This window comes from Homo sapiens, chromosome 2 (genome assembly GCF_000001405.40).
Source record: "Homo sapiens chromosome 2, GRCh38.p14 Primary Assembly".
In the NCBI taxonomy this organism is placed as follows: Eukaryota; Metazoa; Chordata; class Mammalia; order Primates; family Hominidae; genus Homo; species Homo sapiens.
This window is the reverse complement of record NC_000002.12, coordinates 29,900,296-29,922,725: the sequence shown is the minus strand read 5'-3', so window position 1 is coordinate 29,922,725 and position 22,430 is coordinate 29,900,296. Positions and strand designations below refer to the sequence as shown.

Sequence of the window (22,430 nt, the reverse complement as noted above, 5' to 3'; positions counted from 1 at the left end):
GTGCTCTGATCCTGTGAGAAAACTCCTGTGCTACCCGACAGGCCGTGAGCTCCAGAGAGGATCTTGCCTTATTCTTAGCTTCAACAGTCAGCCCAAGGCCTGACAACCAGCCTTTAAGAAGGAATCAAGGGGATTTGTGTGACCCAAAGATGGTAGTTTTGTCTGAGGATCTAGTGAACCACTTGTTATAAAAACAGCTATTATGAGTTCTGTGTTGGCAGCTCAGGAGAGACGAAAGGAAAGGGAGAGGAGAGGTACAGCCATTACAGGTGAGTAAAAAAGGCCTAAGGTTCTGAACCCTCATTCCCAAGATTGTGGGCAAACAATTAAATGCTCTGCAACTCAGTTTCTGCATCTGTAAATCTGGAATTAAAATGTTTGCCTTACAGAGACTAGGGGAGGTTACACATGTTCAGACACCATTCTGAGAAAACAGAGCGACTGACAGGGGTCTGAAAGGTATTTGTTGTAGCTGCAGAACAACTCTGCCAGACCAAGACCATCCATCCCTCTCTGCCCCCCTATTCCCAAATTCTCCTGTGTGGACGGCAGGACTCCTAAGCTCCCAGGAATGCATTCAAATAATAGATGGGTCAGAAAATATTCTGTCTCAGGGCCTTAATACAAGCTGTTCTCAGATTTGCCAGTGTCGCGCTGCCACCCTCTCCCCACTTCCTCCTCCCTTCCCACTCCCCCCTCCCTTCCCCTCTCCTCCAGTTTTATTCTGGAACCTGTTTTTCCGAAGTCGGACCCGTTTAATCTCTTAAATGTATAATTAGGGAGAGTGCTTGATTGCAAAGGCCTCTTCCAGTTCTCACATTTGCTCCCTTTCACACTGCAGAGAAATAGGGCAGGGAATCTAGAGGAGGGGAAGAACAAGAGACTGGAGAGGGAACAGAGGGAGGGTGGGGCGGGCTCACTCCTTTTCTCAATGAATGCCGAGGCCTCTGCAGATTTGCATAGGAGCCGATCGAGCCACGCCATTGGTTGGAGGGTGCGGGTGGGGCGGGGCGAGGCCGGACTGCGTGGGTCGGGCAGCAGCGCGGAGTTGGCTTGTGAGCCCCGCCCCCTCCGGGCCCCGCCCCCTCCCTGCGCGCGCTCGCGCGGCTCAGCCAGCTGCAAGTGGCGGGCGCCCAGGCAGATGCGATCCAGCGGCTCTGGGGGCGGCAGCGGTGGTAGCAGCTGGTACCTCCCGCCGCCTCTGTTCGGAGGGTCGCGGGGCACCGAGGTGCTTTCCGGCCGCCCTCTGGTCGGCCACCCAAAGCCGCGGGCGCTGATGATGGGTGAGGAGGGGGCGGCAAGATTTCGGGCGCCCCTGCCCTGAACGCCCTCAGCTGCTGCCGCCGGGGCCGCTCCAGTGCCTGCGAACTCTGAGGAGCCGAGGCGCCGGTGAGAGCAAGGACGCTGCAAACTTGCGCAGCGCGGGGGCTGGGATTCACGCCCAGAAGTTCAGCAGGCAGACAGTCCGAAGCCTTCCCGCAGCGGAGAGATAGCTTGAGGGTGCGCAAGACGGCAGCCTCCGCCCTCGGTTCCCGCCCAGACCGGGCAGAAGAGCTTGGAGGAGCCAAAAGGAACGCAAAAGGCGGCCAGGACAGCGTGCAGCAGCTGGGAGCCGCCGTTCTCAGCCTTAAAAGTTGCAGAGATTGGAGGCTGCCCCGAGAGGGGACAGACCCCAGCTCCGACTGCGGGGGGCAGGAGAGGACGGTACCCAACTGCCACCTCCCTTCAACCATAGTAGTTCCTCTGTACCGAGCGCAGCGAGCTACAGACGGGGGCGCGGCACTCGGCGCGGAGAGCGGGAGGCTCAAGGTCCCAGCCAGTGAGCCCAGTGTGCTTGAGTGTCTCTGGACTCGCCCCTGAGCTTCCAGGTCTGTTTCATTTAGACTCCTGCTCGCCTCCGTGCAGTTGGGGGAAAGCAAGAGACTTGCGCGCACGCACAGTCCTCTGGAGATCAGGTGGAAGGAGCCGCTGGGTACCAAGGACTGTTCAGAGCCTCTTCCCATCTCGGGGAGAGCGAAGGGTGAGGCTGGGCCCGGAGAGCAGTGTAAACGGCCTCCTCCGGCGGGATGGGAGCCATCGGGCTCCTGTGGCTCCTGCCGCTGCTGCTTTCCACGGCAGCTGTGGGCTCCGGGATGGGGACCGGCCAGCGCGCGGGCTCCCCAGCTGCGGGGCCGCCGCTGCAGCCCCGGGAGCCACTCAGCTACTCGCGCCTGCAGAGGAAGAGTCTGGCAGTTGACTTCGTGGTGCCCTCGCTCTTCCGTGTCTACGCCCGGGACCTACTGCTGCCACCATCCTCCTCGGAGCTGAAGGCTGGCAGGCCCGAGGCCCGCGGCTCGCTAGCTCTGGACTGCGCCCCGCTGCTCAGGTTGCTGGGGCCGGCGCCGGGGGTCTCCTGGACCGCCGGTTCACCAGCCCCGGCAGAGGCCCGGACGCTGTCCAGGGTGCTGAAGGGCGGCTCCGTGCGCAAGCTCCGGCGTGCCAAGCAGTTGGTGCTGGAGCTGGGCGAGGAGGCGATCTTGGAGGGTTGCGTCGGGCCCCCCGGGGAGGCGGCTGTGGGGCTGCTCCAGTTCAATCTCAGCGAGCTGTTCAGTTGGTGGATTCGCCAAGGCGAAGGGCGACTGAGGATCCGCCTGATGCCCGAGAAGAAGGCGTCGGAAGTGGGCAGAGAGGGAAGGCTGTCCGCGGCAATTCGCGCCTCCCAGCCCCGCCTTCTCTTCCAGATCTTCGGGACTGGTGAGCAGCTCCCGCCTGAGTGTGCCGGGATTTAGTGTTTTTAGTCACATTGATATGCAACCATTAAATAATCTTCACTTCCACCCCACTTTCTAAAACCTCAGCTCTGCTTCATCGCCCTCCTTCCTCCCGCAAACCTCCTTCCCGAATCAGACCGTAGTTTCTTGTTTTCTCCCTGAACGCAGTTCAGGGGTCTTCCTTCCTCTTTAGCAACCAAGTTGGGGGAAAAGTTTCATACTCTTGGCAGAGCGCCTTCTTCTCTGGACTTATACGCTGTCCGAGACAAAATTGGGCGCCCCTCTTCCTGGGCCCCGGGACAGTTGAAATGCCCCGATTACTTCCAGGTTCCAAGCTTAGTAGTAGATGTCAAAACTATTGCCCTTCTCTCCCTCTTGTTCCTGGCCAGCACAGATTTGGGAAATATGGTACCTTCTCAGGGAATATAGAATTTCTCTTCATATTATTGAATCTCACCCAACTGTCCCCATTCCAAACGTTGGCTTGGGCAGGTATTGCCAGGGATTGTCTCTTCTTTATTTATTTATTCTCCCCCTCCCACCCCCACCCAGTCTGCTATGCACTCTCGACTCATCCTTTCTCTTACATGTTGTTGGGAAAGCCCCAGAGAAACTAAGGAACAGAGGACAGGAGGGAGGTGTGGAGGAAGGAAGGAAAGTTGTCAAGATTGTCTTCCTTTGGGGAGTCACTATGAAGCCAGGGAGAAACCATCGTTGGTTTTCCTGCTTTTCTTACCTTTCCCCACTCCTCCTTTCCCCTCTGATTCTTAGCTTGAACGTCTGCAGCAGCAGCTCTTGATGATAGTCTCTGGCAGCTTGTTTCACTGCAGATCTCCCTGCTGGAGACTCCTAAAATGAGATTTTTCTGTTTCATTTACTCCCTCATTTCTTGCCATATTCACTGAGTTGGGGGTGTGTGTGTGTGCAGGCACTTACTTCTAACTCTTTCCAGAGTATCCTTTGACTGGAAAACCAGGTGGTTTTGAATCGATGTTCTTCTTGTAAGACAACTGGGGAAGACTTGTGAATAAAATATACAATGTAAATGAATAAGAAAGGCACAGAAAAGAAATCAGGCTTTTAAAAAGCCTACACAAATTCCATCAAGCAAACCCAGCTTCTTTTCTATCATTCTCATCATCAGAAATAAATGAAGTTCTTATGCTCCACTGGCTACTAATGTCTAATATTAATTGGATGGAAACCATTGAAAAGGGCCCATTGTAGAGCTACAAGTATCTTGCATGCTTGTGCACACACATACACACACACACGAGTACTCTCATGCAGGAGGGATATTCAGAAGCTGAGGTTCCCTAGTCATTGCACAGAATACATACTAGTATGTGACCCCCAAGAAAAACAGAGTGCGGATGCACATTTCAACATTAGTGTTAGTGACACTGGCACCTAAAGTGAGCCCTTTTCATTTAGTGCTGGAATTTATATAGACCATCCTAAGAGGCACTGATGAGTTTGATAGTGCCTTCAGTGAACTGAGATGGAAGACTGATACTGTTGTTCCACCCAAGATGTTTTTGTAAAGAACAGCTGGGCTTTAATGTCATTGTGGTTTGTGTGGTTTATACATGCAACATTCTGTTTTAGTGCCCAGTGTTTTAGTAATGGATATAAAAATGACTTCTCTGGAAATGCAGATTATCTTCTAGTTTCATGCCTCTGAGCATCTGTGGAGCTTCCCCATCACCTTTTATCAAATGACCATAGAATCCAGCAGTCTGTATCAGCTGTTGTCAGATGTTGGTGACAGGCAAAAGGGCTCATTTCTACAGCCCCGAACCTGCCAACTGTAAACAGGTAGGTTGCATGAAGCTATCAGTGGGTGTCTCTGAAGAGTCACATGCTTAATTCATTTAAAGAATATACTCCACTCAAGTCTTAAATAAGGTGTTGGAGCTGCTGAGTGGGGAGGTTTATGTAGAAAGGCTGTGCTCCAAGGGCTTCTCTGCTATTGGCTGTAGGGAAGCATTGTGGGCATCCCAAGCCCTCCCTCAGTGGCCCAGTACATTTGGCAGCTGGACCAAGCCCTTATGCATCATTTGACACATCTAGCAATGCTGATTTCAGTAGGAGCCAGGATTCTGCCATTAAAAGGCAAGAAAATTTGGCCAAGCATTTTTCAGCAGGATTGGAATCAAATGATTATTGATAGGATCAAATAAGACACTAAGTGTAACTGGATGAGCTCCCCATGACCTCCAGAGAGACAGCCAGCCTATTGAAAAGCACTTCGGGCCTTGTGGTGATCATACTTGGAACAGCCTGGTCTCTCCTTTCTCTGAGGACATATGCTGTCTGCAGTTAGGCAGCTGGCCATGCAGGACTAGCCTCTCTCACATTATCATTGCCTCCCCAGCCTCATTCAGATACAGTCTCCATTGCAGACATCCCCATGGAGTAGATACACCTTGCTATACCATGTTCTGTGTTTCAGACAACATGTATCATTATGGTTCCGTTCATTTTCCCTATGAAAATTCAAGGTTAGGTTCTGACACTGGGATTGATTTTGCTATTTATCATGTTTGGAGAAATGGGTTTATTATTTTTATATAGGCTCTGATTTATAGAAAAGGCATTTAACTCTTCTATGATGTGGGCTCTTCAATTATACAGAAGGAAAGTAGGCACAGCTCAGCTTATTTTCTTCCTGTGTCTGCCCAAGTGTCTTGTCTGGAGGTACACAATGATGCTGATGGGGCTATTTGTGGGGGAGGGAAGAGCTGATTGTTCTTCCATGTTTTGTGGTGAGGGGCCTGGAGCAGCCCATTTGGCTCAGACCAAAGATAGCTTCCTAAACCTGAGCAGGACCATGACTAAAATAGTAAAAATGAAAAAGCACCAGTTAGGAGAAAGCAAAACCGTTGCATTGCTTGTGATTTGGGCTGTCTGAGAGGACAGAAAGATGTCTGAGAGGCCTTATAATGCATGAAATGCTAATGGTTTTTCCTTGTGGGTTACTGTGAATTCAGAAATAGGATCGGCATTTCAAGTCTGAGGCAGATCCCAAATTCACCCATTCATGGAGAAGAGGTGAAGAGGCAGTTTCTGGGACTGTATTAATGGTTCTGGCCTCTCCCAGGACAGCCCAAATCATAGAAAAGATGTCTGTCTGCAAGGCTGGCATGTTGCCCACAGCTCCAGTTTGTATCCTGGCTTACAGGTGTTTTGAGATCTGTTTCTGCTGTCACCCAGGCAGAGGGCTAGGGGATGATGACTCATGGGATAGGAGGCCTATTTCCCTGTAAGCACTCCCTCCCCACCCAGGAAAGTGGATACATGACTTTGGATTTTACATGTACTATGGAGAGGCCTGAGCAATTTAGAGATGTATGCAATGCAATATATCTGACCTTTGAACTCCCATATCTGTCAGTCCCTTCCCATTTCATTTCTGGAGTGGGCAGAGAGAGCAAAGGAGGATGGAGAGGAAATTGGAGCTCCCAGAAGGGATATCAGTTATTGGAGGTGAATTGGGAGAATTGGAACTAGTCCAGAGAAGAGCAGAGAGCTGATTTAACAGTTGAAGGGACTGATTTACAATGAAAGATGAAAAGAATTAAATATATATGGCTGGGCTAAATGGCGATGAAGGGAAAGCCATGGTAACAATCTACAAATCTCTGAAGAGAGAGAGTGGCAGTGAAGGAGAGGAGTTATTTAGCGTGGCCCATGGAAGTAATTGGATCATACTTGTAGAAGCAAACTTCGGGTTGGATATCAGGGAAACCTTGTTTTCTGACATTGATATTCCTCTGACTATGGAATGGAATTCCAATGGAGTGGGGAGTCAGGTGAGATGTGGGTCAGACAAGTCCCAGCATTCCTAATTAATCAGTTCTATATTTTCACATATTGAGAAGCTACAACAGGACAGAGAGCTGGGATGCAGAATGGCAGAAGGAATCAGAACCTTTTTATGATCCAAACCCTGGAGCCTTTGGGCATTGGTGTTTTTAGAGGAAAAGAAAAGAATTGCATATACATCTTTGAAGTTGGTGAGAAGCACTTAAGAAATTGTTAATGACAAATATTTTGAAATTACTGAATTTATTCTTCCCTGCCCTCCAATTAAACATAGATTATTTCTCTGGGGTGCGATCTGTATATCCAGGGGTTTGGGAGGCACAATCACCAGAGAATTGTGTATCTAAGATACATCTATGGGTGAGGGTATATGACAAAGCATCACTGAGCAGGGCAAAAGGTGACCTGTGTCTTGAGAAGATGCCATCAGTTCTAGATTTGGTGGACTCCTACTGGCTACTTAAAAATCCCTTTAAATGTTGAGAATCTATATTGCCATTTGAAAGATGAAGTTCATCCACATCCAATTTAACATTTCAAAAATTTTTAAAAGAGAAAGAAGGTCCATGAGGGGTTTTTGTGTAAGGCATGGGAGGAGAGTGTGATTATTAATAAAAATGGGTATCTAGGCTGGCCGCAGTGGCTCATGCCTGTAATCCCAGCATTTTGGGAGGCCGAGGAGGGCAGATCACTTGAGGTCAGGAGTTCGAGATCAGCCTGGCCAACATGGTGAAACCCTGTCTCTACTAAAAATAAAAAAATTAGCCAGGCATTGTGGCATGCGCCTTAGTTCCAGCTACTCAGGAGAGTTGCTTGAACCTGGGAGTTGGAGGTTTCAGTGAGCTGAGATTGTGCCACCTCACTTCAGCCTGGGCAACAGAGTGAGAAAGGAATATCTATAAGGAAGTTGGTCTGCTGAAAATCAGGAGGAACTGGCCTGAAGGTGGGAGAAGAAAAGAATGAGAGTTGATCAGCAGAAGTCTCAGTGCCCTGCCACTCAGGATCACTGCCTGGCAACCTCACAACATGGAAATTTTTCCAGTCTGACCTGTAAAGGAAATTTTGCCTTTCTTTATAATCATTATTAGTGTCCTGTTATGGTTATTTGGAACTTTACAATTTATAAAGCATGTTCACATTTATTATTACTTATTAATCCTATGGTAGGCAGGACAAATGTTTGCTTTATTTTGTAAATGAAGTAACTGGAATCCAGACCATATTTTTCCAGGTCATATAGCACAAAATGGTATACACCTGGAAACTTTCATACTGACTAGAACCACAGTTCCCCTTTCCTTCAAGTCAGAGTTCTTTCCACTAAGGGAATCATCTCCAAGTGCAGATTACAAAGAGCAAGACATGTCAATAGGTGAAAAAATTTCCAGTATCCTTGCTAGAAGACCATGCAACAAATATTTGGTGGGCAATAGCCAGGGCTTGGAAAAATTCCTTGAAATCATTGAGGCCCAGCTTTATCATTAGAAAAATAGGGATATAATAGTTCTTAAATGTTCCTAAATGGGGATAGTAATAGTTCAAGGTGTTGTCATGAGGATTAAATTAGATGATGTGTGCAAATCCTTAACCCAATGCCTGATGCAAAATAAAGTGCTTCATCAATATGAACCACTATTGTTTTTTTATATAATAGCAACAGCTGCACTCCAGCATCTGGTCATGCAGGCTGTGCACTCTGCAACTCTAGGGGTTCCATATACATTTTAGTCTGTCTGAATGGTGCCATCTGGAGTTGTAATCTCTATGTGTGGCCATGTGTGGCAATCTTGGCAGCAGCAGTTGTGATGCTGTTGTTCTCCATTCAACTAGCTTCTTACCCCTAAGAGATGAAAGGTGGGATGTATGGGAAATGAAGAGAGTTATAAGTGTAGTAGTTTCTACCATTTCACCATGGAAGGCGACTTTCTCAGAAATATGCATGGAAAGGAGGATTGAAGTGTGGTATTTACTTCCTCCCCATGAATTAATGTCCTCTCGTAAGCCTTTTGACTTTGGATTCAGTTCAAAGAGTCCACCAGCATATTCGCAATCCAGTTCTTTTTTCCTACAGAAGGAAACCAAGGCTTAACTTTATGAAAATATGAAAGTTAAGATGGAGGAAGAACAAGATAGAGATGTTACAGCGGAATCATTTTCAGATGGCAGACGTTTCTTAACTGAGAGTGCTCTGTCCAGGTCTAGAGGCACTGGGCTACTGGCCTCTGGTAACTCTTTTATTTTAATTAGCTGAAGATGTGTTCTTTCTGTATTTTCAGCATCACCCTTCATTGCCAAGTGGAGAATATGGAGAGAAATGTAAATTACCAACTGGTTAATGGACCTGAGCACATTAAGAGCAGTTAAACTTTGAGACTCCCTGGAGACGTATAACCCAGGGACTTGAGTGGGAGGCTGCCTCAGGAAGATCCCTCAATCTAAAAAAAGAGGCTAAGAACCACAGAACATTTTGTACATGGTGGTTTCTATGAACCATAGCTGAGCCATTGCCTCCAAAAGATGCACATGAACATCATTTCTACTTGGGAGTAGATAAAAAATAAGGCGTGTGGGTGAGGATGGTTGTAGGTCTAGGATCATGTGGAGAGAGCTGAGAATAAAGCTATCAAGGAGTCCTTCTTCTTTACAGCCATTGTGTTGCTCTGTGGTCTAGGGTGTGGCCAATGTTTCTTAACCTTGTGATGACCAGGGCTCTTTCACACAGGTCAAGATGTAAGCAGGGAGTGTTGGCCTGGTGGTGAGGTAGTGGAGGAGGTTGGAGGCATTCTTCAGTATGCTTTTTGATTAATTGTATTTTTCAGAATAGCTTATTTTTCTTCAGTAAATTTTGTGATGAATTTTTCAGCTGGCTGTTCTGAGCTTGGGTCCTTTCCCAGGGAAATTCTATCAGATTCGCTTTGTGTTGTGGTGTACATATTCCAGAAAGTGGGCAGAGAAGATCTCCCTTGGGGAAGATACACCCAATCCCTTGGTTATTTAAGAGTCTTTTTTTTTTCTTGCACCTTACCTTTCTGACTAACAACAGGTGCATGCAGTGGTAGGCAGTCAGAAATCCTTAGAGTAAGAATAAAGCTAAAGGAAGGTATGAAAAAGGTATGAAGTTAGAGGACAAGGGAAATCTAGGCAGGCTTAAAGAAATCAGGAAACTAGCCAAAGGAAATGAGGATAGATTGAACCATTGGTTATATTTTTCTTTGACCCCTACTTATCTTTTATTTAGTTTTCATTGGAATGTGAGTTCATGAGGGTGAGCATGGAAAGGACTCTTTTAAGCCCAGATAAGTAAAGTAAGTGTTCTGTGGTGAGGAGAACACTAGATTAGGAGCTCGAAGACATGAATTCTATGATGTTCTTTATCTTTTGTTAGCTTTGCAATCTTCTACAACTCTCTTAAACTTGCTAAGCCTGTATATTTATATATGTATTATAAATAAAATATATATATATGCCAGTCATGCGTGTTTTAAATAACTTTTAAATAGAAAAATAGTCCTTTATAGCTATCCAGATATATACCATTTCTTTTGCTCTTCCCTTTTCCTCAAGTTTCAATATTTCCTATTTTATTATTTCCCTTCAGCCTAAAGAGGTCTTTTTTTGCATTTCCATTAGAATAAGACTATTGACGATAAATTCTCTTAGTTCCTGAAGGATATTTTTACTAGGTTCAGAATTATGCATTGACAGTTCCTTTCTTTCCACACTTTAACTATTTTGTTCCTGTGTCCTTCATAGTTTGTGATGAGCAATCTGCCATTACATTGTTGTTCCTTTTTGTAATTGCTTTCAATATTTTTTTCTTGGCTTTTGGTTTTCAGAATTTGATTATGATGTATCTCTGCATGGTTTTATTTGACTTTATCCTGTTTGTAGTTTTTTGAGACTCTTGAGTCTATAAGTTTATGTCTTTCATCAAATGGGATTTTTCAATTATTATTTTCTCCTTTTTTTCCTGCACCAATATATTCCTCTCCTGAGACTCTGATTACACACCTGTTAGATCTCCCATGCTCTTGAGACGCTGCTAATTTCTTTTTTTGAAATTTTTCTCTTTGTTCTGTAGATTGAACAATTTCTATTGACCTATCCTCAAGTTGATTGACTCTTTCCTCTGTTATCTCCATTCTGATATAATTATTTACTTTAGATATTTTAGTTTCCAGTTTAAATGTTTCATATTTGACAATGACTTCTGTTTCTTGATGAGAACTACCTTTCCATTCATTTTCCAGAGTGTTTACTTTCACCTTATGGGACATGGTCATAACAGCTTCTTTCACGTCTTTGATAATTCCAACATCTGGATGATCTTATTATTGGCATATGATATCTTTCCTCTTAAGAATTAGTCATTTTTTTTCTTTTATGTTGAGTAATTTGAGATTGTATCCTGCAAATTTTGTACATTACATTGTTTGGTCTGAGTTGGGTGTGGTTTGAACCTTTGCTTTGTTCTCAAAGCCTTTGTTATTCTGCTTTGAGTCTGTCCACACCTCTGCCACTCAGGTGAGCTGAGGCCCTTGGCCAGTTCCGTCAGCGAATTAGCATATTTCCTTCTCCAGCTCTCTTTAGGATTCTCCTTAAACTTAGAGTTTTACCTACCTGTATTATTGCTGCACAGATCCTGCATTTAGGGTTGCCCTTGAGAGATGACAGCAGAGAGATGATAAAGCAGATGAAAGTAGAGAGATGATAAAGAGAAACAAAATGGGGATTCCCTCCATACCCTTTGGACTGAAGGGACCCCTTTCCCAGTCCTTTATCCTGAAAGTTGTGGTTTCTACCAGGGTTTCTATTTGAGGGTTTCTATCAGCAGCTATGCTGGCTCTACTGAAGGGTCACCATCATGAGATAAGAAGGAAAAAACAAGTAAATGTAGATTTTCCTCTGCACTCACTGAATCATAAAGTTCCTTTCCCTGTCCTTTGGGTGAGAAAGAAAAGATTGCTTTGGGCCCCTTAGCTGTCCATGGTGCTACCACCACAGATTTTCTGGGTGCCTGCATTCAGTTCACAGACAAAAGAGGTAAAAACAGAAGACTTGCCTTCATATGAATTGCTTTTTTCAGGTTTTGACTCTCTTCCTCAATGTTCCTGATTTTACTTTTCAGAGTCCCCAGTAGTCATTTTTTGTTTTTCTTGTTGTTGTTGTTGTTGTTGTTTCGTCCAGAGTATTTCGGTTGTAAAGAACAGGATGAACAGGACTTTGTGGGCTTATTTCATCTTGGCTGCACTTGGAGTTTCTCATTTCTATGTTGAATCAGAGTTTCCATCTGTAATTTTTTCCTTTAGCCTTTAATATTTAATGTTGTGCTATTCTGTATTTAAATTATCTCAGCTTTTGTTTGCTGAAAGTGACTTTATTTTGCTTTCATTTCAGAAAAAGATTTTCACTGGGTATACTTTCAGGTGGATAGCACTTTAATGCTGTTGCTCCATTGTTACATGGTTTGCATTATTTCCAGTGAGTCAGAGAATTTCCTGAGTCAGAGATGCTCTTTACCTGTTTCCTGTTATGTCTTTCCCACCTTCTGCCTTCCTTAGGATTTTCTTTTTATCATAGGATTTTAGAAATTTGATTAATGATGTGCCCTTATGTAATTTGCTTTGTGTTTTTCCTCCTAGCAATTTGTTGATAGACTCTTGGTTCTCTTTATATTTTTCATCACATTTGGAAATTTTTAAAAAAATTGTTTTCTGCTCCTCCTTTCTAAGAATTCAATTACAATTGTGCTATACTTTTATGGTTCCCGTACTTTATTAAGGGTCTGTTCATTTTTTTTCTCAGCCCCTTTTCTCTCTGTATTTCAGTCTGCATAGTTTTTATTGCATATTTTGAAGTTCACCCTCTTTTCTTCTATAGTGTCTAATGTGCTAATAAACCAGCCCATGTAATAAGTTTTCACTTTAGATACTGTATTGATTTTCAGCTCTAGAATTTCTGCTTCCATTTTTATTTCTATCTTCATTATGTTTATGTCTTTCTCTAAGTCCTTGAACACGTATAACAGCTATTTTAAAGTTCCTTTCCACTAATTATAGTATTTCTATCATTTCTATGTCTACTTATATTGATCAGTTTTTCTCTTGGAAATAGGTCACATTTTCCTGCTTCTTTGCATACCTTGCAGTTGTTTTTTTTTTTTTTTTTGGTGTGGTGCATTATGAATATTCCATTGCTGAATGTGTGGACATTTTTGTCTTCATTGAAAGACTTTTGAATTTTCTTTGACAGTTAATTGACTTGTCCATCAATTTTATACTTTCAAGGATTATTGTCAAGCTTTGTTTGAGGGAGTTTAGAGAAGTCTTTATTCTATGGTTAGTTTAAGCCTCCTCTTAAGGTTTGGCCTTTCTGGAGTCTCCATCACATGCCTCGGGTATTCAAAGGTATTCAATGAGGTCTCTCCTCTCTGGTTCTTACACACTTAAAAAACATTTCCCAATTCCATGTATGAGCTGTAGAAATTGTTTGGCTTACAGTTCCCTGATAGCTATTCTTTACTTGGTAGCTGCTCTTTGCTTAGTCTTGTGGAATCTCACTGTATGAATGCACAACTTAATATTTAGCCAAAGACTCAAGAGGACTTCTAGGCAGTTTTGTGGAGCATTCTCTCTCTCTCTCTCTCTCTCTCTCTCTCTCTCTCTCTGTCTGTCTGTCTCTCTCTGTGTGTGTATGTGTGTCTAGTTGTGCCTTCTCTGGTTTGCTCCCTGGAAATTCGAGCTGCTTCAGCCTTTCTAGACACCAATCTCTATGACCTCAAGTCACTGAGGCCACTATGCTCTTTTTGGCCTTCTCTTTCCTGTGTCAGAGTCTGGTAAATGCCTCTAGGCAAAAAATCAGAACAGTGCTAGGGCCCACCACATACATTCTCACTCTTTCAAGGATTATAGTCCTGTGTTGCTGATTATTCCACAGTTTCTTTCAAATATTTTGTCAGTTTTACAGTTATTCATGGTAGGAAGGATCATGCAGTGCTAGTTCTTGTATCATGGCCAGGAGCCTATATGATAAGCTTTGGGATCTAGGTCATACTAGCTTGTCTCCTGAGATACCATATAGATCTCCATGGGAGGTGCGCACCAAAGAGAAATTAGACAAGGGAATCCTTTTAATGGAGATCTATAAGTTTGAATTTTTGCCTGAGGAAATGCTTATTTATTGGTTTAGTTTTTTTTTCTTTTAAATTGAGCACTTGCCAAGTTGAATGAAGTACAGTCTCTTCCTCCCAGGAGTTCACAAACTAGTTGGAGGAGAAAAGGCAGACAAAGTATGCTAATAAATAACTCCAATAAAAGGCAGCACTTGAATGCTAAACAAATGGTGCAGCTGGTTATAGTAGTTGGATAGAGGGTTGGAGAGGTCAATTCCTGCTGGGGTGATTAAGGAGAGTTTCATGCTGTACCTCCAAATCTCAAAAGCATTCCCTTAAAGGCAGATGAGCAGTAGTTTTCAGTGCATTATGGGAGAGGTAAAGTTTCTCTGAGACAGGAAACTATAGCTCTGGAATTTTAGAAACAATAAGCTTATTGCCTTTTGGCAGGGAGTCAGGTCAAAGGATATCTGCTGAGAATGATGGTTTCCTTTTGAGACTGAGATAGAAGTGAGTAAAAAATAAAAACACTTCCAGAAGGAGGTAATTTGAGAATAGGGTCTTGGAGAGAGTGCAGCTTTTTACTTCAAAAGAGAAGGACAAAGGATCTTCTGAGTTGGGGCAAGAGCCAAAATAATGCCCAGATGAAGAACAATTGGCTAGAGAAAGGGAGAGAGGAAAGAGAAGAGAAAGGAGAGACAGAGAGACAGAAAGGCAGATAGACAATGTGTGTGTGTGTGTGTGTGTGTGTGTGTGCTCTGGAGAGTAGAACCAGCCAGAGCAGAGAGCTCTAAGGTGCTAGGTCAGATATTCTGAACTAGAGGTTAGCCTGGCTTTTTGTGTCTGGAATTTTGATTTGATGCTAGAGAAATCTGAACCTATTTAGGTCTTGAGTAGGGGAGATGCATTTTGACTGCGTGTTGACTGCAGATTATTCAGGAAATGTATTTTAGTGTGGGTCTCAGGCCTGGATGTAGAGAGGGCTAGTGTTGGAGCCCCGTGAAGCTATTACACCAAATAAGCAATGAAAGAGTCAGAGCTGGGCCAATAGATGCCCAGATATAAGAGGAACAAATGAGAAGGAGTCAAAAGTCTAAGGTTTTGGAACCTTGAAGACTTATGGTTTACTGATAAAGAAGACAGTTGGGAAGAGGATCTGGTTTGAGGGGCAAGTGGTTGGCATGACAATAATTCTAGTGTGGCATCCATCCAAAGATGAGGGTATCTGGGATGCACATGAAAGCATGGGCCTGAAGCAGGAATGGGGAAGAGGTCAAGGCTGAAGATATCGATGTGGGAGCTATTTACATGCACGTGGTAATTTAATCCTTGAAAAAAAGAGATGAGTTTTCCAGAGGACGTAGAGAGAGGAAAGAAGGAAGGTCACAGCTTAGATTTAGGAAAGTTCATAATTAGACAGTAGAATGGAGTCAATGACATCACCAGAAAGAATTTTCTTACAAGAAGGAACAGAGGCCTCTGTGGATCATGTGGTGTTATAGAAGCTCAGCAAGGCAGATGGAGTGGAGAGACCATTGTGTTGGACCAAGAGCAATTCACGGAGTGTCTTGTACAGAGCAGGAACAGGCAGAAGGAAGTTTAGAGAGAGTGCTGAAGAAATAGAAGCAAAACGTGTTTAAGTAGTCATTTAAGAAGTCTTTGAAAGAAAGAAGAGAAAGAGAATGAAATATCAGTGATGTCAGAGGGTTCAGCAGCATGGAGGAAACATGTTTTATGATAGCAAACCTCTTAATGTTGAAAATCAGGAGGGAAAAAGCTAAAGAGAAAAGATTTCAGGTATCTGAAAGAGAGAGGATAATTGTATAGCAAAACCATTCAATCTAGGTGCAGACTCTTATACAGGACTTAGATGCCGTTATATCTAGGGCCCTGTCTGCTTCTGGAGTTTCCTCTTAAAATAGAGTTCATTCAATCTTATTTAAAAAAATATTTCTGCTACTCGGGAGGCTGAGGCAGGAGAATGGCGTGAACCTGGGAGGCGGAGCTTGCAGTGAGCTGAGATTGCGCCACTGCACTCCAGCATGGGCGACAGAGCAAGATTCTGTCTCAAAAAAAAAAAAAAAAAAAAAAAAAAAAAACCTTAAATGTATATGTATATTTCTGGGGATGTGGGGATCACTATTTTCCAAGGCTTCCCTGTTACCTGTTGGACAAGTCTGTTGGGAAAATATTTAATAGTGGTCAAATTCTATTCCTCTGTAATTTAATGATAACAGCTACCATTGAACAGTTTGACATAGACTGCTTTATTTAGTCCTCACTATAATGTGGTAGTTTTATGATTTTAGTACTCTTTTCGTTTTTGCAAATAAAGAAACTGATGCTCAGAGAGGTCAGATAACACGATCCAGGTTGCACAGCCAGTAAGTGAAGGATCTGGTATTTGAATTTCAGCCTGTTTAACTCCACATCTATGATCTCTCTGTCTTATGTCTTTTACTTGTGACTGTAGTTTGGCTGACAAGTATTAACTTCTCCCCAACATGAGGGTCCTTCAAACATTTGAAGTCAGTTATCCCACATATCCTATATATTTTTCTTTGTCTCCTCCTTCTTTTCATTCTCCTCCTCTTTCTCTCCTATCCCTTTTCTTTAAAAAATCATTAATTCAACAAATAATTATTGGGCAGCTTCAGTATGTTAGACACTGTACTAGATGCTGCACAGACAGCAATGAACAAAACAGACATGGGCTTTGCCCGCATGGGATTTATAGAATGGTGAGGGAAGAATATTAAATGTGCAAATGAACAAATAAATATATAATGAGAAATGATGATACATGCTGGGAAGGAAACAAACGTCTCTAGCCCCCTTGTCACTTTTCCTCATTCACCACAGGTTTCACAGTGCTCACTGAGCCTGCTTCTTCCCCCCTGCCCCACACGCCCTCTCCTCTTAAAGCATGGCCCCAGATGAGGACAACATTCTGCTCCTGTGATCTGACCCTCTATAGCGAGGCCCTTGAACTGGGAAACCTGTGTTGTTGCAGTTTAGCGGTAGGCATGGGCAGAACTGCAGGCAGGGGTACAATAGAGAAGGAAAACAACCTCCTTCTCTGAGATGAGAAGACAAATGTATCCAAGGCCATGCAGAGATGAAAGGCAGAGAGCCCAGGAGTGGGGCCAGACAGCGGTCTCAATCTGTTCTGTGAAGTATGAGCAAAGGTTGTGCTAAACAGATCACAAAGCCATGCATCCCCTTCCATTCCTCGCATCCTGCCTTTCCCTTCATGCTCCAGCCCCCTTGGACCCACACATCTGCTTGACAAATGCAGCCAAGGGGGAAAGCACAAAATTTACTAAATAGAATGCTTCACTGTGGCTGGCTAGGTAGGAAAAGGGATTCCTTCTCTGTCTCCCTCCTTCCCTCCCTCTCTCCCTCCCTTCCTTCCTTCCTTCCTCCCTTCCTTCTTTCCTTCCTTCTTTCCTTGCCCCTTCCCTTCCCTTTCCCTTTCCTTTTCCCTTTCCCTCCTTCTCTTCCTTCCCTCTTACCTTCTTTCTTTCATAGTATTAATCTTGACACCATAATTTGGAAGAATCTGATTGGAGAAAAATGTCATGAAGCACAAATGCAGATTTGATATATCTGACCTTTCTTCTCTTCAGAACAATAAATGTCAAATAGCTTAAAATGACAGCCTGGATAACCAGAGATTATTTATGTGCTTAAATATTTAGGCAAGAAACATAGTTTAGACTTAAGTCTAATTTACATGAACATGCTGACCTATGTGAATCAGAAGCACTTTAAGGGATCCATCACAAGCAGTGGTGTTTGCATTTCAGAAAACAGAAAATGTGAAAAATCAGAATAGAGTAGAAGTGGTAAATGACCCTTGATAAGTAATGAGAATGTTTGATAACATCAAGAAATTACTTTGCAGCACAAAATTGTGTTTGCATTTTTCATATCTGAGTGGTGTGGTGGCATCTGGAGAAGGACCCACAACCCACATGTCCTCTCCTTTATCAGATGCAAAGTATTTTATATGTGCATGTGTATGTGTATCATTTATTCCCATTTTACTGAAGACATTTACTGTTAAAACAGAAGGAGGGAGAATTATCTTGCTTCAGCTCTGTAAATCCTGATAGAAGTGTAATCCCCCAGACAGAGTGTAATTCTCTACTCAACCTCACACTCAATTATCATCAGGAACAGGCTCAGAAAGGTGGGTTTCTTGTTTTGTTTTGTTTAAAGAACTCTGAACATTCGTTAACCCCTGTACTTCTGAAAGGAGAGGATATTACATTGTGTTAAGGAAGCAGAATCTGGAATTAGTTCTAGGTTTGACACCCAGCTCCAGACATTCTTAAGCTAATATGAAAATAGTTTTTCTGGTCTTAGCATCCTTATCTGTAAAATTATAGTACTTGCTTTATAGGGTTCTTTTGAGGAGTAAATGAGGTAAATTTTAAGAAGAGTTTAGTGTAGCATCTGTGACATGGTTAGAGCACTGAAGATATTATCCATTATCTTCTGTTTTATTATTATTGATGTTGTTATTAATAAAGGGGTTTCCCCTCATTATTTTTTGTGGCTTCCTTTCTATCTCATTTTTGCTGAGATCTAACTATTCTCACAGTTAGAGTTTATCTTGTGGAAAATATAACTAAATAAATGAGGGTCACAATATAATTCTTTAGATATTGAGCACTGGAGCAGCTGTTTTGCTCTAAGAGTGAAAGTTACCAGAAAACCAATCCTGTCCCATTATGCATTGCCTAAGGATTCCATATTGAACCAGCGAATCTTTTGTTTATTTATTTATTCATGTTGAAGGATTTTAATTAAATCATAAATAATATTTCCAAAGTCAGGATATTCATTGTAAGATCTTTTAATTTCACAGCAGAAAAAAACCCTATTTCAATAACTAACTAGGAAAATTTAAAAACTGTAATGTGAGTTGAAGCAGTGGAAAGAGGGAAGAGAGTTCTCGACCAGGAGTTGTGAGATTAGGTTTTCATTTTAGAATATACCAAGTTATTCTTTTTTAATCTGGGCAAATCACCTAAACTTCCTGAGTCTTTGTTTCTGTAATATCAAATAAGTGAGTTCTAATCTCTGTCCTTTTCATATTAAAATCCTATGATTCTAACCTATTTCCTGGGCTGATGCTGAAGCATGACTGGGAAGGTGTTATTTCTATAAACAGTTGCAGGGTCCGTTAGAATTTCATAAAGCAGTAATAAGAAATCATCACCTTCTCTGATTCTTATGTAATTGGTAAATTATGATAAGAGCTGCTTACCTCTAATATGCTTTAAAGACCATGACTAGATTAAGAACATTTATTTTTCTTTCTACCCCAAAGGAAAACCCAAATTATTTTGATGCTTTTCTGGATATATAGTAAACTCACCAGAGCTGCTTTGTTATGGTTTTCTGTTCCAATCATTATAGCCAATTGTGTGAACAGAGGCAATCAATCAATTGATTGATAGACCAACTGATAAATAAATATCTACCTACTTACATACATACATAAAAACTATTTTCTCTTCCTTATTTGGGTAGGGTTTATGTTAGGGTTGGGACTGAGGGACAAGGGAGTGTTTGACTCATCTGTCTCAGATGAGGGACGTAGTAGGCGCTCAGTAAATATTTGCTGAATCAGTGAAGGAAGAAAAAAGGAATGAATGAGGGATATAAATGTGGTATATTAAAAGGACTATCTGAGCAAGTTCTTTCTATCTTTCATAGCCCATGTCCCAGTGAATACAGCTTGTGTTTATACATTCACTTGCCCAATTCTTAATGGTTCACTGACTTTTTCCTTAATTCCAATTCTTCATTCTACAAATAGTCCCTGAGACTTTCCATGCGTTCAGGACTTTGTACGGTTCTATAGGGTAACAGGCAATAATTACAAGATGTAGTCCCTGACTTTAAAGACTTAAAGTCTAATGAGGTAAACAAAAAATATAGGATTTTGAGTCAGCATTTGGGGATTCAAGACTTGACACCATCATCAGTTAGTTTCATGATCTTCATTTAAACTCTCTGGGTCCTAGTTAAGTGCAGGGATGATACCAACCCCACCAGGTTGAGGGGATCAGATAAGATTATATGCATAGGTTAGTGCACTGTAAAATCAAAAGCACTGTGAGCATTATACTACATACTTTAAAATAATACTAGATGGTGTGAGCTTAAGAGCTAAATGTCTTCGGGCAAAGAACAGTGAGTAGGATTGGTGAGTACAGGCTTCCTGATGGAGCTGAAGCTTGATGGGTTTTGGAGGAGTAGGGTTTGGAATAGTCAGGATGAAAGAGGAATAGCATTCCAGGTGGGGACCACAGAGTATGGAGCACAAGGTCAGTCCAGTTTGTCTTCCTGTAGTGCCTAAAATGAGCCTCATGCTCTACTGGGCCCTCTCAGTTTGGAGAAGAGATTTTATGTCGGTAAGTACAGTTGGATGGGCAGGATGGGGCCAGGACCTTGGAGAGCAAGCAGAGGGTGTTTGACTTTCTTGCAGCAGGAAACAGGCAGCCATCAAAGGCCTGATGTAAATAGCATTTTAGGAAGATGAAACTGGCAATGGTGTGTGGTCTGGATTAGCATGTAGGGACTGGGGTCAGGAATCTGGGGTGGAGGAGAGGGAAGATTTGGAAAGATGCAGATTCAGCAGGATGATGGAGAAGAGGATGGCTTCAGAAAAACTTCACAGGCCTTGGCACAAGGGGCCGAAAAAGAGAAATTCAAGCTTTCTAGCACTTTTTGCCAGCAAGATTAGAATAATAATGGGTCATTTGATAGAAAAGAATTTGGGAAGAAAAAACATTGGGGAGGAAGAGTTGAGTTCAATTTGCACCTGGGGAGCCGAGATGATAGCCCAACTCCAAGCAGCTGTGTCCTGCTAGCTGGAAACATGGCACTAGAACTCATGTAAGAAGTCAGGGCTGGGCATGGGGATTTGGGAGTCATCAGCACAGAGACTTCTCATAAATTATGTGCTTTGCTTAGAACTTAATTTCATGTCTTTTTGGAAGATAAGAGAAATGAAAAGCTTGCTGAATTATGGATTATGCAACTGTATTCAAAGTAATTCTCTCTTTCCCCCTCCCCTCTGCTTCCCTGATGAATTTTGTGTTCTGTTCTTCCTGTTGATCCACACCCCCTACCCCTAATTCTTTGTAAACTGAGGAACACAATAAACTATTTCTTTCAGATCAGAAGACTGTCAGTGAAGGGATTAAGGTGATCGAGAATGTTCACCAGAAGATACGGCGATCTTCCTGACCCCCTCTCCAATCCTTCATAGATCACAGGGAGAGAGGCTTTCTTTAGAGGAAAGCAACAATTTATATTTATAGGAGGAAATGTTTAAGGAGCTAAATTCTCAGTTCCCTGGACAGCCCTGTTGTTTGATTTGCAGCTTTTCTTAAGTAAAGCACTGATTCTCAATGAGAGATGAGCGGCTTGGCCAATAATGCAATCAGATAAAGTAGGGTTTTCAGACCTGGTGGGTGGGCTTGAAGCTGGGACTCCTTCCCTGGCACCAAGCTTGCCTTTGTAGTTTGAACTGAGTTAGCATAAACAGCGGGTGCAACACTCAGAAGCTGAATTTTCTTTAGTTTAATCCTCTTTGTCCTCCTCTTCAAAGGGAAAAATTTGCAAGCAATTTGCTGAGACATGCTCAAGAATTACCTGCCAGAGAGAATATCAGACATGACCTCAGATAAGGCAATGATGAGAAGGGGGATTGGAGAGAAGAGAAATGTGGCACTGAAGTTTATTGAACATCTATTACATGCCAGGCACTTTACAGACATTCTCATCTAATCTTCACAGCTGCAAGAGACAGATAGTTTTATCTCTGTTTCACAAATGAGGCTCTGTGGGGTTAAGTGACTTGCCTAGGTCAAATGACTCATAAGTGGCTGAACTGGGATTTGATCTTAGGTTTCTAAGCCTGAGGATCCCCTCCTCGTTCCAAATCTGTGCTTTCTTCTCACCCCTGCTATGAGGAAAAGCTTGCTTGCTTGCTTGCTTGCTTGCTTGCTTGCTTGCTCTCTCTCTCTCTCTCTTTCTTTCTTTCTTAAGACATTCAGCTGTGATTTTCTGGAAGCCTGTGGAGTAGGATGAAAATCGAGTGGCTCTCATATCTATCTACTCCTCGTCTGTCACTCACTTCCCTTGTCCCTCACTCCTTCTTGATTTCTTTTCTCTTGTTCTCTACCTCTCATAGTGGGATGTGCTCCTTTCTTCTTACATGTCTCTCTCTTGAGGTGGAGGGGTTAAAGGATGAGGAGAGTGATGAAGCAGCAGAGCGTCAAGTCCTTCATCTCTCACAGTGTCCTGTGCACGTTTCATTGCCTTTCTGTGAAGCCCAGTCAAGGGCGTGTAGATGGCCCATGTTTGCTGGTTACTGCTTCTGACTGTCATTTTGACTGCGGATAGACATTGAGTGAAGTACCCACTCTGTGCAAGGCACCACAGTGGGTGCCAGAAAAAATTATTTTGAAGTGGCTAAATTGAAATTTCCTTAAAATAAAAATGAGTGTGCTTACGTTTTGCCTATTTAGGAAATAGGGGCTAAGGAGAAAGGAGTGAGGAAGCCAGAAGAGGAGGCAGCGACCCTGCTTAAGAAGCCAAGGAGTTCCCTGGTATACAAAGTGACAGCTTGATATGCAGCCTTGGCAACCTGCCCTGGTCCACTATATGGTCACTGCCTGGTCTAAAACCCTTGAGTGTCCAGGGCTCCCTGTTAG

General features: G+C 43.0%; 1 protein-coding gene across 2 annotated transcripts in view, besides 2 other annotated features; it reads left to right on the top strand.

Annotated features, from left to right (window-relative positions):
- ALK (ALK receptor tyrosine kinase) overlaps positions 1,140-22,430 on the top strand; it is a 728,813-nt gene continuing 707,522 nt past the window's right edge. For both annotated transcript variants that reach the window (XR_001738688.3, NM_004304.5), the window contains exon 1: positions 1,140-2,733. Coding sequence is in view for 1 of the 2 variants with exons in the window: in NM_004304.5 (NP_004295.2) it covers positions 2,067-2,733 (667 nt within the window). In the remaining variant the exon portion in view is untranslated. The remainder of the gene's footprint in view (positions 2,734-22,430) is intronic.
- Positions 20,847-21,471: an enhancer, noted in NCBI's record as "OCT4-NANOG hESC enhancer chr2:30124121-30124745 (GRCh37/hg19 assembly coordinates)". NCBI's record gives its function as "activates a minimal SCP1, AML or CMV promoter by ChIP-STARR-seq in primed H9 embryonic stem cells {active_cell/tissue: H9 hESC(primed)}" and the evidence as "EXISTENCE:reporter gene assay evidence [ECO:0000049][PMID:30033119]".
- Positions 21,472-22,096: an enhancer, noted in NCBI's record as "OCT4-NANOG hESC enhancer chr2:30123496-30124120 (GRCh37/hg19 assembly coordinates)". NCBI's record gives its function as "activates a minimal SCP1, AML or CMV promoter by ChIP-STARR-seq in naive H9 embryonic stem cells {active_cell/tissue: H9 hESC(naive)}" and the evidence as "EXISTENCE:reporter gene assay evidence [ECO:0000049][PMID:30033119]".